We start from the raw sequence: 16,125 nt of genomic DNA on the forward strand, positions 1-16,125 counted from the left end.
TGCAGAACTCCCCTCCCGCAACCACATCCCCAGCCTCGCTACACCCCAGATCATTTATTCATTAACTCAGCAAAGACTGATTTGCATGCATGCCCATGGACCACGAACCCCACAGAACTCGGTGCCTGCCTTCAGCAGCGTAAAGTCTAAAGAGGGAGACAGCGCGACCAATTGCTCACACACACAAAAAAGATCCACCTTGCAAATATAGCCTCACCCCTCAGCCTCCGTCTTCCCATCTGTGAAATGGTCCCCTCAAGTCTCCCTGCTGTACAGGTCACTGGATAGCTCCATGAAACATGTGCTCCCCTGAGCATCAAAAGGGGCTGCTGTTATTTGTGCTGTTGCTACGTTGGGATTCCTGGTGGTGCTTTCTCTCTCTGGCCTCTCACATTCCAGATGCCCTGGGGGTGGGTGGACCGGGATAGGGGATGAATCCGGTGTGGGTGACACAACAACCTCAGTGTCCTGACTCCTCCCTCTGCAGCCCCCACAGGGAGTTCACAGCCATTCAATCCATGCTGAGCTAAGCCCGGGTCTGCACTGGGGGATCGGGGCCCTACTTGCTCCCAGCCCCACCTTCCTGCCTCCCTCCTCAGTTAGTGGCACCTCCCTCTGGCTCACACTTGTAATCTCAGCACTTTGGGAGGCAGAGGTGGGCCGATCGCTTGAGGCCAGGAGTTCGAGACCACCCTGGGCAACATAGTGTGACTCTCTTTCTAAAATAATAATAATAATAATAATAATAATAATAATAATAATTTAAAAATTAGCCAGGTGTCCTGGCATGTGCCTGTAGACCCAGCTACTCGGGAGGCTGAGGCAGGAGGATTACTTGAGCCCAGGAGGTCGAGGCTGCAGTGAGCTATGATCGCACGACTGCACTCAAGCCTGGGTGACAGAGACCCTGTCTCAAAAACAAATGAAAATGGCCTGGCGCGGTGGCTCATGCCTGTAATCCCAACACTTTGAGAGGCCGAGGCAGGCAGATCACAAGGTCAGGAGTTCGAGACCAGCCTGGCCAACATGGTGAAATCCCGTCTCTACTAAAAATACAAAAATCAGCCATGCATGATGGCGGGCGCCTGTGATCCCAGCTACTTGTGAGGCTGAGACAGGAGAATCGCTTGAACCCAGGAGGTGGAAGTTGCAGTAAGTAGAGATTGCACCACTGCACTCCAGCCTGGGCGACAGAGCGAGACTCTGTCTCAAAAAAGAAAACAAACAACAAACAAGCAAACAAAAACAAATGAAAACTAACAAACAAAAAGCAGCCCCTCCCTCCCCCTGGCCGTCAGGCTCAGACACTTGAGAGTCTCACTGGACGCGTCCTCACCCCTCCCTTCCCACATCCAGTTTAGCACCATGTTCTATGAGCTCCAGCCCCTAAAAATACACCCCGCATCTGTCCCTTCTTCATCCACTGCTCCGCCCTGGCCCAGGCCACCACCACCACCACCACCACCATCTGTCACCAGGAGGAGGGCCACTGCCTCCAGCCAGACCTCCAGCATCCACGCCTGCCCCCGCAGCCTCTCCCACAGCAGAAACAGCAAACGCAGCCCTCCCTGATGGAAAAATCTCCAGTGGTTTCCCACTGTACTTAAAATCCTAACTGCGAGGCCCCCCAGCTCTCCACCTCCATCTCCCTCCAACCCCCTCCCACTGTGATCGTGTAAAATATTTATTTGGTCTTCTGCCTTAAAATCCTTGGAATCTCCAAAGTGTTTAGTTTGCCAATGACTCACTGGTGGCCAGCAGCCCCTAGGCAGCTTCAGGATGGGGACTGGTCTCAGGAAAAACCAAGTCAGCGCTACAGGACTGGGACTTTCAGCCCAGTCCCCAACCTCCAGCAGTGAGGGGAGAGAGGCTGAAGGTCAAACTGATCACCAATGGCCTGTGGTTTAATCAATCATGCCCATGTATACAAAAACCATATACATATAGAGAAAGAATGAATAAGACCTACTATTTGATCCCACAACAGGGTGACTATAGTCAAGAATAACTTGATTGTATATTTTTAAATAACTGAAGGAGTGTAACTGGATTGTTTGTAACACAAAGGCTAAATGCTTGAAGGGGTGGATACGCCCTTCCCATGATGTGATTACGTCACATTGCATGCCTGTGTCAACACATCTCATGCACCCCACAACTGTATACACTTACTATGAACCTACAAAAATTAAACATTTAAAAATTTAAAATGATATAATTTTAAAAATTACGCCCACCTAATGAAGCCTCCATAAAAACTCAAGAGGACAGAGTTTTTGAGCATGGGAAGGCTCCTGGAGGGTGGTGTCCTGGAGAGCATGGCAGCTCCATGCCCCTTCCCCATGCCCTTTCCCCGTGCCCCTCCCCCATGCCTCTCCCTAGCATCTCTTCATCTGTATCCTTCTAACATCCTTTATAATAAATAAGCTCAGTGCTTCCCTGAGCCCTGTGAGCCGTTCTAACAAATTAATTGAACCCAAAGACAGGGTCGTGGGAACCCCAATTCACAGCTGGTCTGTGAGAAGCACAGGTGACACATCCCAGGGCTTGAGAGGGGCATCGGGAGTAAGGGGCCGCCCTGGGGTCTGAACCCTCGACCTGTGGGGTCTGACACTGCCTCCAGGTAGACAGCGGCAGAATTGAGTTGAATCAGAGGGCCCCCAGCTGGCATCCGCTGCAGAATTAGGTGTTCATTTGATCTGCTGTGGGGGGAGCCCCCCATATTTGGTCACAGAAGTCTTCTGTGTTGATTGTTGTGGGGTGAACAGAGGAGGAAAAGCAGTTTGCGTTTCTCCCACTCAGTCCCACTCTCTGGGCTCCAGCCACAGCGCACCGTTTCTGTTCTGCGTGTTGCTACCCCAGGCCCTTTGCACATGTACTTCCCGGTTCCTGGAGTGCTCTTCTCCAGATTCCCATGAAGCCTTCAGGAGTTGGCACTTCTCAGAGGAAACTTCCGGAAATGTGCTCTCATCTAAGCAGCCCCCCTGCCCAGCACCTCTTCTCCGGTGCACCCCCTGCTCTTCTTTCTATCCTGGCATCGTTGCTTCCCAGAGTGACCTTACTCATGTGTGACCTTACTTATGAGTGACCTTACTCATACGTGACCTTACTCATGCATTTACTCGCCAGCTGTCTCTCCCACTAGAAGGCAAGTTTGTGAGGGCAGGGAGCTTTCTAGCTTCGTCCAGCTTTGTTGTTGTTGTTTTTCTTTTCTTTTCTCTTCTTTTTTTTTTTTTTTTTTTTGAGATGGAGTCTCACTCTGTCGCCCAGGCTAGAGTGCAGTGGTGAGATCTCGGCTCACTGCAACCTCTGCTTCCAGGTTCAACCGATTCTTGTGGCTCAGCCTCCCACAGCTGGGATTACAGGCGTGTGCCACCACACCTGGCTAATTTTTGTATTTTTAGTAGAGATGGGGTTTCACTATGTTGCCCAGGCTGGTCTCAAACTCCTGACCTCAAGCAATCCGCCCACCTCGGCCTCCCAAGGGTGAGCCACTGCACCCGGTCACCTCTGTATTTCTGAAGCGGATACCCTTGGTGTTCTAAGCAGATCCAAATGAATCCTCTTTTTACTGTATTTGCACACCCCTGATTTTGGAGCATTTTTGTATCCAAAACCCAAGACCTGTTGGTCTGCCTTTGAGAGCTGTCCGTGACCCTGGGCTGCTAGAGTCCCCTTTGCCCTCCTGGGACACTCCCTGGCCAGGAATCTTGGTCTCAGTGTCTGCTTCTGGGGAACCTAACCCAAGCCGATTCGCAATAAATATGAGGGTGTGTGACACACAGTGAGCACCCAAACAGCATTTGCTGAATGAAGGAATGAACAAATCGACACAGACTTCTCAGAGCTTGACTCCCTCTCAGAGCCCAGCAAGTGCTCTGCACACAGTAGGTGTGTGATAAATGTTTGCTGGAGGCTCAGCATTTGAGAGCTTTCATAATCGTCCCAGGCTGTGTACAGAATGCTCACACATCCATTTCTTTTCTTTTCTTTTCTTTTCTTTTCTTTTCTTTTCTTTTCTTTTCTTTGAGATGGAGTCTCACTCTGTCACCCAGGCTGGAGTGCAGTGGGATGATCTCGGCTCACTACAACCTCCACCTCCTGGGTTCAAACGATTCTCGTGCCTCATCCTCCCGTCTAGCTGGGATTACAGGTGCCCGCCACTACACCCAGCTAATTTTTGTATTTTCAGTAGAGACGGTGTTTCACCATACTGCCCAGGCTGGTCTCGAACCCCTGGCCTCCCACAGTGCTGGGATTATAGGCGTGAGCCCCCGCGCCCAGCCCTCACACGTCCATTTCGATTCCACCCTTACAGGGGTTCTCAAAGATTCGTACACAGCAATCTTCACTCCCACCTCACGGCAGTCTCAGAGAGGTTATGAATTGCTCCAAGGCCACCCAGCAACTTGAGCAGAGCAGGGAGTAGCACGCAGGTACTGGGAGTAGCACGCAGGTACTGGGAGTAGCACGCAGGTACTGGGAGTAGCACGCTAAGGAGGAGCAGACATCGTGTGACCCTGGTCGCCCTGTTATAGGGTTGTCACTCTTGTTCCCAAGGCCCCAGAGAGAAAGGGTTAAGACCCCTTTGAAAATCTGAAGACTTGAGGAAATGCTTCCCAGAATAAAACGCCCAGACACACACGTAAAATACAATTTCTAGGGGTCACGGGTTTCCGAAGCCAGGCTGTGGACCACAGCTTCCCCAGTTTAAAATCAATCCACTCCGCTCCAGGAACCGGGTGATCCGCAGCCCCTCCCAGGCAGCAGCCTCTGGACCACCTGTGTGCACAGCTCGCCCCCCAGTGGCCGAGCTCGGAATCGTCCTGAAGTCTCGCGTGCTGCAGCCAGATTGCAGGGGATCGCGGATGGAGAGACAAGTCGGGGGGACTTTACCCCCAGGATGGGGAAAAGTCACCCACAATTCAAGCAAAGATGACCCTTGTGACAGATTAACATTTCAGGGCCGCTACCTGGAGAATGGACGGCTCGGGACACGCGTGGGAGCCGGGAGGCCAGTGGACCAGACTGGCAGAGCCTTCAGGTGAGACAGGATGGCTCCAGGGCAGGGGCTCGGACACAGGGTCCCTGGCCCTGGACCCACCCACGGGGCCGCCACCTCTTGAGCCCCACGCTGACCCCGAGAGGCATTGTTTTCAGCCGAGGACCACCGCCCTGGCCCACTCCATTCACTATCCACTTCACCCATCTCTCCTGGGTGACATCGCTGCAAAGCAGGAGACGTCCCTGCAAAGCAGATCTGAGTCACCTGCTTTAAAGGAGAGAACAGTAGGTCTCCAGAGAGGCTGTGTGACTTGTCCAGGGTCCCACAGCTAGTAAGTGGCAGAACTGTAAAGTTGTTTGAGAGGAAGGGCCGCCTCTGTCTGGTCCACAATTGCACCCCCTGTGCCTAGCGCGTAGTGAGCACTGGATAAGTATGTGTTGAAAGAATGGGTGTCCGCGTGAGCCAAGGAGTACTAAGGAATGTGAGTAACCGCCCCGGCCAAAAATATTCGTTTCCAGCACAAGGGCATGTACCGGGGTTTATGCTGCAGGTCCTTGGAGTTTGGGGTTACAGCAACTGGTGTCAGGACTTCTGGTATTCTAGAACATTCTAGTATCAACTGAGATACAAAGTGCCCCAGGAGTCCTGAGACAGGGAAGAACAGCAAGCAGGAGTGATGGGGGAGGGGTGCTTCCTGGAGGAGAGGGCATGGCTGGAATTGCGCCTTTGATGATGGCGAAGACTGAGAGAGGCAGAGAGGGGGGAAAAGGCCACGCAGGGGCGATGCAGGCCGAGCAGGAAGAAGGGTGCATGGGACACAATCATGGGATGGTGCAGAGATTGCAGGTAGCAGGCTGCTTCGAGGTACTGGGAGGAACGTCCTTAATAGTTAGGTATTTATTTTAATGGCGACTGGAAAACTATTACTTGCCCAAAGGACCCATAATTTCACAGATATGACTGCCTTCCTTTTAAAATAAAATTCTTTAAGAAAAAAAGTAAGCCAAATTAAATCAACATGGTAAGTAGTGGAGTCCCATCGTTGGCAGGGGCTGGCGCCTGAAGTGAAGGCATGAGAAGAAAGTCTCGCAGAGTCAAAGATGCTCAGAATCAGAGACACTGAAGCTCGACCGGGTGTCCCGAACCCCAGCCCTCCAGCTGTGGGGCAGGCGGTGCTTCCCTCCCTGAGCCCTGGCTAAGGTCGTTGGCTGGGCTTAAGACCAAGGATGTGTCCAAACGCACACCCTACAAAAAAATCAAACCTCACTCAGAAGCAAGATGTTCACCCAATGAGACACACGGGAGGCTAAGTCCCTCGGGAACACACACACACACACACACACACACACACACACACACACCCCACACACACACAAACACAAGAATGACTTAAGGGCCAGGGCAGTGGCTCATGCCTGTTATCCCAGCACTTTGGGAGGCCGAGGCGGGCGGATCGCTTGAGCCTGGGAGTTGGAGATCAGCCTGGGCGACACGGCGAAACCCCATCTTTACAAAAATATACAAAAAATTAGCCGGGTGTAGTGGCACAGGCCTATAATCCCACCTACTTGGGAGGCTGGCTGAGGTGAGAGGATCGCCTGAGCCTGGGAGGTTGAGGCTGCAGTGAGCAGTGATTGTGCCAGCCTAGGTGACAAAGTGAGACCCTGTCTCCAAAAAAAAAAAAAAAAAAAAAAAAAAACCGAATGCCTTCTGGGGCCTGTCTTTTTTTCTGTTTTATGAGCAGGTAGACTTGAATGCAAGAGTTAAAACTGTCTGTGATGTGTTGCATACACAGATTAAGTCAAAATCCTCACCGTGGCTATCAAATAACCAAAGCTGGCCTCAGCTTCCCAGAGGATCAGACATGGGGAGTTTGAAGGGAACCATCCTCGGGGCCTGGACTCTCTCCTGAGCTTGTCACTCGCCTGCCATTTCCCCGGGCAGGTCACAAGACCCCCCACCCCTCCACTCTACAGCCAACGGGCAAAGCCTCCCTGACCTCCAGCCCCAATCAGAGGGAACTTCCCGGACACAGGTTTCGAGAACCCATCTAAAGATTGGGTAAGAAATGCTTTTGCAAGCCGGTGGTTTCCACTTTGCTGCTTTCTACAAATTTGAAGAAAGGTCAAACGGACCTGTCTGCTGGGAGATCAGTGAGAATCGCTTCCAATGACAGATCGCCGTGTGACATTCGCATACTACCCAGAAGGAGTATAAGAATTCCACTCCCAGTGACTTCCTTATGAAAACAAGGCTTCTCTGCACTTGCAGGGACAAAGAATTGATGGTAAAAATTGGTTTCATTCTAGCAATACGTGACAGTCATTCACGGATACATGAATTAATTGGGGGTGGAGAGGAAGTCCCACTCATCTCAGGACAAGAAGTATTTCTAAGCAAATAAAAGCCACAATGAGAAACCACTACGAAGGGCTGAAGTTTTTTAAAACTGAAAACACCAAGATGCTGGTGAGGACGCAGAGCTGATGGGAATGCAGCCTGGTACAGCGACTGTGAAACTGGCAGTCCCCCAAAAGTGAAACGCAGAGCTCCAGTTTGACTCAGCAGCTCCACTCCGAGGTATACACCCCAGGGAAATGAACGTACGCCTTCACACACAAATCTGTACATGAACGTTCACAGCAGCTTTGTTCATAGTTGCTGATGTGGTTTGGCTGCGTCCCTGCCCAAATCTCATCTCGAATTGTAGTTCCCATAATTCCCATGTTGTGGGAGGGAGCCAGTGGGAGATCATTGAATCATACGGGCGGTTAACCCCATACTGTTCTCCTGGTGGTGAGTAAGTCTCACAAGATCTGATGGTTTGATCGGGGGTTTCCCCTTTCACTTGGCTCTCATTCTCTCTTCTCTGGTCCCATGTAAGACATGACTTTGCTTCTCCTTTGCCTTCCACCATGATTGTGAGGCCTCCCCAGCCATATGAACTGTGAGTTCATGAAACCTTTTTTCTTTAAAAGTTACCCAGTCTTGGGTATGTCTTTATCAGTGGCGTGAAAACCAACTAATGCAATTGCCAAAGGCTGCAACCACTCTACGTGTCCCTCAATAAGTGAACGGCTGAAAAGCACTGGTGTGTGCACCCCATGGAGTTCTGCTCAGCAGTGAAAAGAAAGGAACTATTGCTACACACAACAACAGGCATGCATCTAGAGACAGTGCTGAGTGAAGGAAGCCAGGCTCAGAGGGTTACAGGCTGTAGATCCCATTTAGAACATTCTGGAAAAGGTAAAAATAGCTAGTGGCCAAGGGCTAAGCATGGGGATGAGGGACTTCCCTACAAAGTGGGAGGAAGGCAGCACAGGTCGCAGGCTGGGTGCAGTGGCTCACGCCTCTAATCCCAGCACTTTGGTAGGTTGAGGTGGGACTAATGCTTGAAGCCAAAAGTTTGAGACCAGCCTGGGCAACAGAGCCAGACCCCCATCTCTACAAAAAAAAAATTAGCCAGGTGTGGTGGCACACATCTGTGGTCCCAGCTACTCGGAAGGCTAAGTCAGGAGGCTCTCCTGAGCCTGGGAGGTGAAGGCTGCAGTGAGTCAAGATTGAACCACTGCACTCTAGCCTGGGCAACAGAGCGAGACTCTGTCTCAAAAAAAAAAAAAAAAAAATTATGGGAGCCCACTGTAAAACAAACAAAAACAAAGGGAAGACATGAGGAAATCTTGGGGGATGATGAAATTGTTTTGTCTTGATTGTAGGGGTAATGACTCAACTCTATAAACATGTCAAAATTCATGGAATTGTACACACACTCACACACAACTCTAATCTGTAAATGAAAAAGATATATAAAATGCATACCAAAAGGACATGCATTCCAATAAAATTTTGCTACTTTGATATGTCACATAAAACATAGTAATATAGTTTTGACCAATTGTGTCCTGAGACTTGAAAGGCAATCCAGATGGTATAGGCTAAATGTTTGTGTTGACCCAAAATTCCTGTTGAAGCCCTAACCTCCAGTGTGGCTGTGTCTGGAGATGGGGCCTCTAAGAAAATAATTAAATGAGGCCCTGATCTGATAGCATCAGTGTCCTTATAAGAGACACCACAGAGCTCTCGCTCTCCCTCTCTCTTCCCCCTTTCACACCGAGGAAAGGCCATGTGAGGACACAGAGAAGGCGGCCGTCTGAAGCCAGGAAGAGACGCCTCACCAGAACCCAACCCTGCTGGAACCCTGGTCTCAGACTTCCAGCCTCCAGAGCTGTGAGAAATAAATGGTTTAAGCCACCTATTGATGGTATTTTTTCTTTTTGAGACAGTGTCTCACTCTGTCTCGCAGGCTGGAGTGCAGTGGCATGATCACAGCTCACTGCAGCCTCAACCTCTTGGCTTCCAGCAATCCTACCTCAGCCTCCTGAGTAGTTGGGACCACAGGCGCCCACCACCACGCCTGGCTAATTTTTGTATTTTTTTTGTATTGATGAGGGTCTCACCATATTACCCAGACTAGTCTTGAACTCCTGGCATCAAGCAATCCTCCGGTCTTGGCCTCCCACAGGGCTGGGATTACAGGCGTGTGCCACCACGCCCGGCCTTGATGGTATTTTGTTATGGCAGCCCCAGACCTAAAAAAATTTACCCTTGATGGTCACAAGAAATAAAAAAAAAAAGTTTGCTTCAACTTATATATTTATGTTGCAGGCAAGTATAGGAGTGATTAATAAAAGGCTTAAAAGCATCAAATATAAATATCATTTAGATAAAATTTTAGGAGGGAAGAAGAAAGGAAATACAAGTTTAAGGGGAAAAGGGCTAACATTTCTGACCATAAAAGAGCTTGTTCGTATATTCTTTGAAATGTTCGGCAGTGAATACCCTCTCCTCTCCTAGTTAGATCCCAGCGGGCACACTTAAATACTGATGAAATGGTCTCATATTCAAACATCAACGATGATGACAATCGGAGAAAATTCCATCCTTTGCAATGATCTACACTTAAGATGAGAACTTTTAGATGGCTCCAATCTGTTCTCTTACCCGCTTCTCTTCTTCACCATTTATGTAACGAGCAGAAAGCAAAGGCCTAGAACAACACGGGGCATGTCCTATGGGCACCAGGATTTGTAGATAAATGCACAGAAACACATCCAGGGGGCCCCATGCAAAAGTGGCAAAAGCGTCTGCACTGGGGGCTGTGGGATGGGACTCAGACCCTGCTGCTTCTAAACAAGGGCGTACTCATGCAGTATTTCTATGAAACTCAACATTGCACAAGGTTGAAATTTGAAAACAACAGGAAGGTAAGCCAGCAGCCCGGCCCTGGGAGAGACGCTCTTGGCAGCCACCAGAAAGGAGCTATTGACCAAGAGAAGAGGAGCCCGGAACTTCCCAGAGGCCCCCACCCCCACGACCTCAGCAAACAAGGCTGTCACAGAGGCAGGCATCCCATTTTTTTAAACGTTTATTACTTCAAGAGTGAATTATTTTTCAAAGATGATAAAACTCATTTCTATTCCAGTAGAAAAGGGTCACAGGTTTGCCCCAGGGTCCAGGAGCGCCCGGAAGGCAGGGCCCCCAGGCCTCTTCACCTCAGCCTGGGCACCTATAATCTGAGGGACCCTGTGAGGGGGTGGGGGCAGCTCGGGGGCACAGCCTGCGGCCACTTCGGCCAGAGAGTGGCCGGCTCAGTCCATAGGATGATGTCAGTTTAGGCTGGAGGAAAAGGGCGCCAGACAACCCGATGCAGTGCCTGTGAAGACTTCGGGGGGATCAAAGTCCGGCCGGGGTGGGCGGAGACCCTCGGGCAGCTGCACAGGGCATCTTGTGCTCACTCCATTGTTTTCCGAGGCCTGTGTAAAGGCGCTTTGCCTGGCCTGGCAGGTAGACCAAGGCCAAAGCTCGTGGCCAGGGCCTGGGCACTGAGTCCCCACTGAATTTGGCACAGGAAGGCGGCACTCCCAGCCTGGCCCGTCCTGCATGGGGAGCCACCACACCGGGACTGCAGTGTTTCACCTTGGAGGGGAGGAAGCCTGGGCCCAACGGCTGAACGGGACAGGCCAGGCTCACCCGAGGAAGGGGACGCAGGACCCACAGCCCCTGTGGTCAGGCCTGTGGGCCACGTGGAGAGAAGGTTCCAGAACAGTGCTTGTTGACGAGCCTCTCCCTACAAGTCCCTTCAGCAGCAGCTCCATCCCTGAGTGTCTGCACAAGCCTGCACGCATGTGTGTATGTGTGCCAGGGCGTGTGTGCAGGTGTGCAACAGGCACATGGCAGCTGGGAGGCTCAGGCTGTGGGGCTGGGGGGCTGTCCGCTGGGAGAGTCCGGGAGAAGCGGGGTGTAGGGGCTGGGGGGCCGGTCAGGCCCAGCGGCCAGGCCTGGCTGGCTCACGGTGTCCTCAGGACCCTGTGGAGAAAGGCAAAGCTGGGTGACCACCCACGCCCTGTCACCAAACCCCACCCTCATCCCCGCCCACCACAGCCCTGTACCCACATCCCCAGCAGAGACTCCACCCCCGCCACCAGGCTGTCAGAAGTGAGAAGAGACTGGAGTCACCTATAGACTCCTGGAATGACTCCAAGGGCCTCTTCATCTCACTCAACACCCGCCTGGCCTCCCCGACCTCCTTTAGAGATGGAGAAACTGAGGCCCAAAGAGACTTAATACAGTGAGGGGCAGAGCAAGGGGGGCGGCCTGTGTGCAGCACAGTCAACATGGAACAACCGGGGCAAGCTCTGTCCCTCAGGAGGAGAACGTATGTTTATGTGTTGATTTATTTTTTATTTTTTAGAGACGGTCTCTCTCTGTCGCCCAGGCTGGAGTACGGTGGTGCCATCATGGCTCACCACGGCCTTGAACTCCTGGGCTCAAGTGATCCTCCCACCTCGGCCTCCCAAGTGGCCGGGACAATGACACGTGCCACCACCACGCCCGGCTCATTTTTTAATTTTTTGTAGAGATCAGGTCTATGTTGCCCAGGCTGGTCTCGAACTCCTGGGCTCAGGCGATCCTCTCACCTCAGCCTCCCAAAGCGCTGGGATTCCAGGCGTGAGACACCATGCCTGGCCTGTGTTTTTAAACCCATGTCACAGGACGGTATTCAGCCTGAACAGTATTCCTGAACAGAAGACAGGGAGGAAAGCCAGCCACACAGCAATACACGCAGCAGGATGCAGCTTCGGTCACATTCAAAAAGTGACCTCATGCTCATGGCTGCGCACATGCAGATTCAGAAAAAACAAACCCACGTGCCAAGTTCCTGGCCATGGCTGCTCAGGGTATGCGGGGCGCAGGACGTGGGGAGGGGGACGAGGGCCACCCAGGGAACGAGTGAAACCAAGGGCATGAGATGCTGGCCATCTTCAACACTGACAGCTGTCAGCAATGGCTGCGTCTGGGTGAGGGGAACTGGATACTGTCATTTGTCTAGTTTGACAGTTGTAGAAAATTTCTCAACTTAAAAATTAAAAATACAGATAATGCTAATGATAAGAGTGTGGGGTGAGCCTTCGTCCCACTAAGCCCCCTGCCTCCCTTGCCCTGAGCAACAGAGGCCTCCCTGCCCCGGTGGCTGGGGCTGGAAACCGCTGCCCACCTCCGCCCACCTGTGCTTGCTTCACCACGGGGTAGGAAAATCAAACTCCTGCTCAGGGCAGAGAGCGGGCACAGGGGCCAGGGTCTGCTGCACTGAGCCAGGCGCGGGGGAGGTCAGCCCCGCCCCCACACCACCCACTGAGGCAGCACAGGACACCCACAGGTGGCTAGACCTTAGCCATGTGGGCCCAAAGAGCCGTGACTTGAGAAGGTCTCACTCAGAAGTAGAAAGGGGAAACCACCCCTAGGCTGTAAAAGAACCCCTTGTCTTTCCCAAGGAAGACACGTGGAACAAAACCCGCAGGTGCCAGAGGGTGAAGCAGGTTCCTCCTCCTTCCCCTCCTCCTCCTCCTCTTTGCCACTTGTTTGACTGAGGAACATGGACTTGGCGTGGAAGAAAGATCGGTGAGAAGCTAAGAAAGGTCCAGGAACATATCCCTGAAGGGCCACCTGGACAGTTGTCCAGGCTGTTCACTGCACAAAAGGACCCAGCTGAAGGGTTACAGACCAGTGGACACACAGTTTACCAAGCCCCCTGCCCTACAGCAGGCCTCATCTGCCCAGAGGGGCTGTCTTTTTCTTATTTATATAAAAATATCTGTTTTCCCCCCTTCTCCCAAGCAAGGCAGCCCCTCAGGGCCATCCCCATACCCAGGTACAGGGCAAAGGTGTGGGGCCTTCCCCAGGGACTCAGGCCTGAGACTCAGAACAGGACCCAAGAGGGGGCAGCAGTGGCCTGCAGGGGGACCACCAGCCACCACCCAGGTGCCCACCCCAAGCTGCAGCCAGCCACTGGAGGACACTGCATTCCCCGTTTCACATGCCTAGGGGATCCGGGGCGCTGGGCTGGGCTCCAGACCTTCCAGGAGGCAGGGCAGGAGGGTCTTTTCAAGTCAAACACTTGTCTCATCACCTAAAAATTGGATTCTGTTGGCAAAATAAAGGGGAGACCCCAGTTTTGTTTGGGGGGCAGATGACAGGACATCCTGGTTATGTCCAGGGAGGTGCAGCCATGGGGCCCTGGCCACTCTATCTATGCTAAAAGTGAAAAGCTCCCTGCTCTACACTGACCAGGCCCTGACCAGCCCCTGACCAGCCCCCACCCCTGCACCCTGGGAATCCCAGGCAAGTTTCTGCAGAAGGGAGCAGTGGCTGGAAGGAGCAGGCACACCGATGGGGCCAAACCGTGCACAGCACTACGGTGTCCTGGAGGAATCCTGGGAGAGAGGAAAGGAAGGGGGTCCAGGCAGAAGGCCTTGCCCCCAAGCCTGGGGACCCTGTCCCAGGGAGGATCCTCTCCTAATATTAACACTCCACCCCAACATGGTCAGACTCCACCCCCTACTCCCAGATGGACAGGAAGGGCGCCCCAGAGCTTGACTGGGACACAGGGCTGGCAGCGCCTGCCAACGCCAACAGGCTCCTGCCTGCCCACCCCTTGGCATTTTCTTTTTCATCTCCTTGTCCAGCCCTGGCAAGTGAGATGAGTTAGAGACAGCCAAGTGGCCCCAAAGAGTGGGGCTGCTGCCTCACGTCCCCACAATGTGGCTCCCTGGAAAGCTATTTTCACCCAAGTAGGCCTAGCCTCAGAAGCTCTTGAGGGCAGCACATTTTTCAGAAACTAAAATAACAGCTATTATCAGAGGCACCACGGTAGAGCGACTCATCCCTGCCCAACCCCAAGTTGTAGGGCCTGCAGCTCTGCCCGTCACCTCCCCTGGCAAGGACACCATCCCTGGCCACGGCTCCCCCATGACCTCAGCCCTACAGGAACCTGGCCAAGGAAACGCAGAACCCCCAGGGGCATCAGCCTATGTTCCCAGCAGATAGGGCGGCCACATAAAATCAGAACGCCTAGTTAAATGTGAATTTCAGGTGAACTACAGACAGGTTTTCAGGATACGTGCGTCCTATCATTGCACAGGAACACAATAAAAATTACTTATTGCTTACCAGAAATTCATATTTAACAGGCACCCTTCTGTTGTTTCTTGTGTTTCGTTTGTTTGTTTGTGCTCAATCTGGCAATCCTACCCTCAGATCCAGTCCCAGGTATACAGTTGGTGTTCAGTTGATGCCTACATTCTTTGTTCTTGGTCAGTCATCCCAGATGTATTTATTTATTTATTTATTTTAGTTTTATTTTTTTGAGACGGAGTCTCACTCTGTCACCCAGGCTGGAGTGCAGTGGCACGATCTTGGCTCACTGCAACCTCCATCTCCCGGGTTCAAGCGATTCTCCTGCCTCAGCCTCCTGAGTAGCTGGGATTACAAGCGTGTGCCACCACACCCAGCTAATTTTTTTTGTATTTTTAGTAGAGACAGGTTTTCACCATGTTGGCCAGGCTGGTCTTGAACTCCTGACCTCAAATGATCCACCTGCTTCGGCCTCCCAAAGTGCTGGATTACAGGTGTGAGCCACCGCACCTGGCCAGTCATCCCAGATTTAGATCAATGCCTCTCAAACATGTTTCTACATCAGAATCTCATTAGGGTCCATTAAAATACAGATTCCAGGGTCCCACCATGATCCTATTCCAGAAGGCTAGAAGGCTGCCCAGGGATCTGCATTTCTAGCAGACTTCCCCAGGGGAGTCTATTGCACAAGAGATTCCAGAAGCAGCAGGCCTAAGCCTTGCTCCTGTCTTTCTAATGTGACCTTGCAAATAGGCACCAGCCCACAGAATACAAGTTGCCCTCTGGGATCAAAAAAACTGCTATTCACTCAGAACATAGGAAGGGCAGTTTCTCCAAAAGCAAAATACACAAATATGCATCTTCAGTCTGTAGACACTCCAGGTGAAGTTGAGGCTGAAGGAATGAGCAGGACCCCAAATGTTTTAAGCCGCCAGCATTCTACTTGATATGGGAGGGGGCGGGGAGGCGCACGGCATTACCTGGTACCCACCTACAGTTTTGCTTCCTGCAGCACAGAGCCCTTGGGAGCTGATGTCATCAGGGATTCAGAATAGGCCTGAATGGCCTCCTTATCCTTTGAGCCCTTTTTACTACTACTCCAAAATAAATAGCATTTCTCCTAGAAGATAACCAAGCTAATTTATAGTTGACGTTGAAGCCACATAAAAATGGTTTTACACGGTTCTTCAATTTGCAAAAGGCAAAGAGGAAACAGGAAAGGCACATAAGTTTAGAGTCCAACAACCCTCAACGATTGCAGGTGGCTGAGATGTGGGGAGCTGCCGCTCTTAGACATAAGTACAAGCATCTTCAGGAAACACACCTGGGAGGTGGACAAGCCAAGCTGAAAAGGGCTCGTCCACTTGAAAATTTAAGCCAGCGAGGAAGCAAGGTGGGGAGATGGGCCATGGAGACCGACAACCAGTGGACTTAGCTGGGGGGCTGTTTAAAATCAACGAGGAACAGATTGTTCTGTTAAAATACTTTTGATTTATTTTAAAAGAATGACTTGAGAAGAAAAAATTACTGCTTTTTTTAATTTTTGAGACAGGATCTCACTCTGTTGTCCAGGCTGGAGTGCAATGGTGCGATCATGGCTCACTGCAGCCTCCAACTCCTGGGCTCAAGTGATCCTCCCACCTCAACCT

General features: G+C 51.7%; 1 protein-coding gene across 19 annotated transcripts in view, besides 7 other annotated features; it reads right to left on the reverse strand.

Moving 5' to 3' along the window:
• Nucleotides 4,862-4,931: an enhancer, noted in NCBI's record as "active region_7300". NCBI's record gives its function as "activates an Ori minimal core promoter by ATAC-STARR-seq in GM12878 lymphoblastoid cells {active_cell/tissue: GM12878}" and the evidence as "EXISTENCE:reporter gene assay evidence [ECO:0000049][PMID:35858748]".
• Nucleotides 6,848-7,142: a silencer, noted in NCBI's record as "tiled region #2215; K562 Repressive non-DNase unmatched - State 7:EnhWF". NCBI's record gives its function as "represses a minimal TATA promoter and a strong SV40 promoter by Sharpr-MPRA in K562 cells {active_cell/tissue: K562}" and the evidence as "EXISTENCE:reporter gene assay evidence [ECO:0000049][PMID:27701403]".
• Nucleotides 6,848-7,212: a biological region, named in NCBI's record as "Sharpr-MPRA regulatory region 2215".
• Nucleotides 7,053-7,212: an enhancer, noted in NCBI's record as "active region_7301". NCBI's record gives its function as "activates an Ori minimal core promoter by ATAC-STARR-seq in GM12878 lymphoblastoid cells {active_cell/tissue: GM12878}" and the evidence as "EXISTENCE:reporter gene assay evidence [ECO:0000049][PMID:35858748]".
• Nucleotides 7,223-7,272: an enhancer, noted in NCBI's record as "active region_7302". NCBI's record gives its function as "activates an Ori minimal core promoter by ATAC-STARR-seq in GM12878 lymphoblastoid cells {active_cell/tissue: GM12878}" and the evidence as "EXISTENCE:reporter gene assay evidence [ECO:0000049][PMID:35858748]".
• Nucleotides 7,333-7,492: an enhancer, noted in NCBI's record as "active region_7303". NCBI's record gives its function as "activates an Ori minimal core promoter by ATAC-STARR-seq in GM12878 lymphoblastoid cells {active_cell/tissue: GM12878}" and the evidence as "EXISTENCE:reporter gene assay evidence [ECO:0000049][PMID:35858748]".
• Nucleotides 9,641-16,125, reverse strand: part of SCARB1 (scavenger receptor class B member 1) — an 87,009-nt gene continuing 80,524 nt past the window's right edge. For 8 of the 19 annotated variants that reach the window (NR_160422.1, NR_160423.1, NR_160419.1 and 5 more), the window contains 2 exons: nt 15,468-15,596; nt 9,641-11,371 (listed from right to left, as the gene is read on the reverse strand). Coding sequence is in view for 10 of the 19 variants with exons in the window: in NM_001367988.1 (NP_001354917.1) it covers nt 15,468-15,596 (129 nt within the window). In the remaining 9 variants the exon portion in view is untranslated. Of the gene's footprint in view, nt 11,372-13,383; nt 13,487-15,456; nt 15,597-16,125 lie in introns of all 19 variants that reach the window. The other 11 variants (NR_160418.1, NR_160420.1, NR_160424.1 and 8 more) reach the window with 4 other exon arrangements.
• Nucleotides 15,634-15,834: a silencer, noted in NCBI's record as "peak2030 fragment used in MPRA reporter construct". NCBI's record gives its function as "represses an SCP1 promoter by STARR-seq MPRAs in K562 erythroleukemia cells {active_cell/tissue: K562}" and the evidence as "EXISTENCE:reporter gene assay evidence [ECO:0000049][PMID:32103011]".

This window comes from Homo sapiens, chromosome 12 (assembly GCF_000001405.40).
Source record: "Homo sapiens chromosome 12, GRCh38.p14 Primary Assembly".
Classification (NCBI taxonomy): Eukaryota; Metazoa; Chordata; class Mammalia; order Primates; family Hominidae; genus Homo; species Homo sapiens.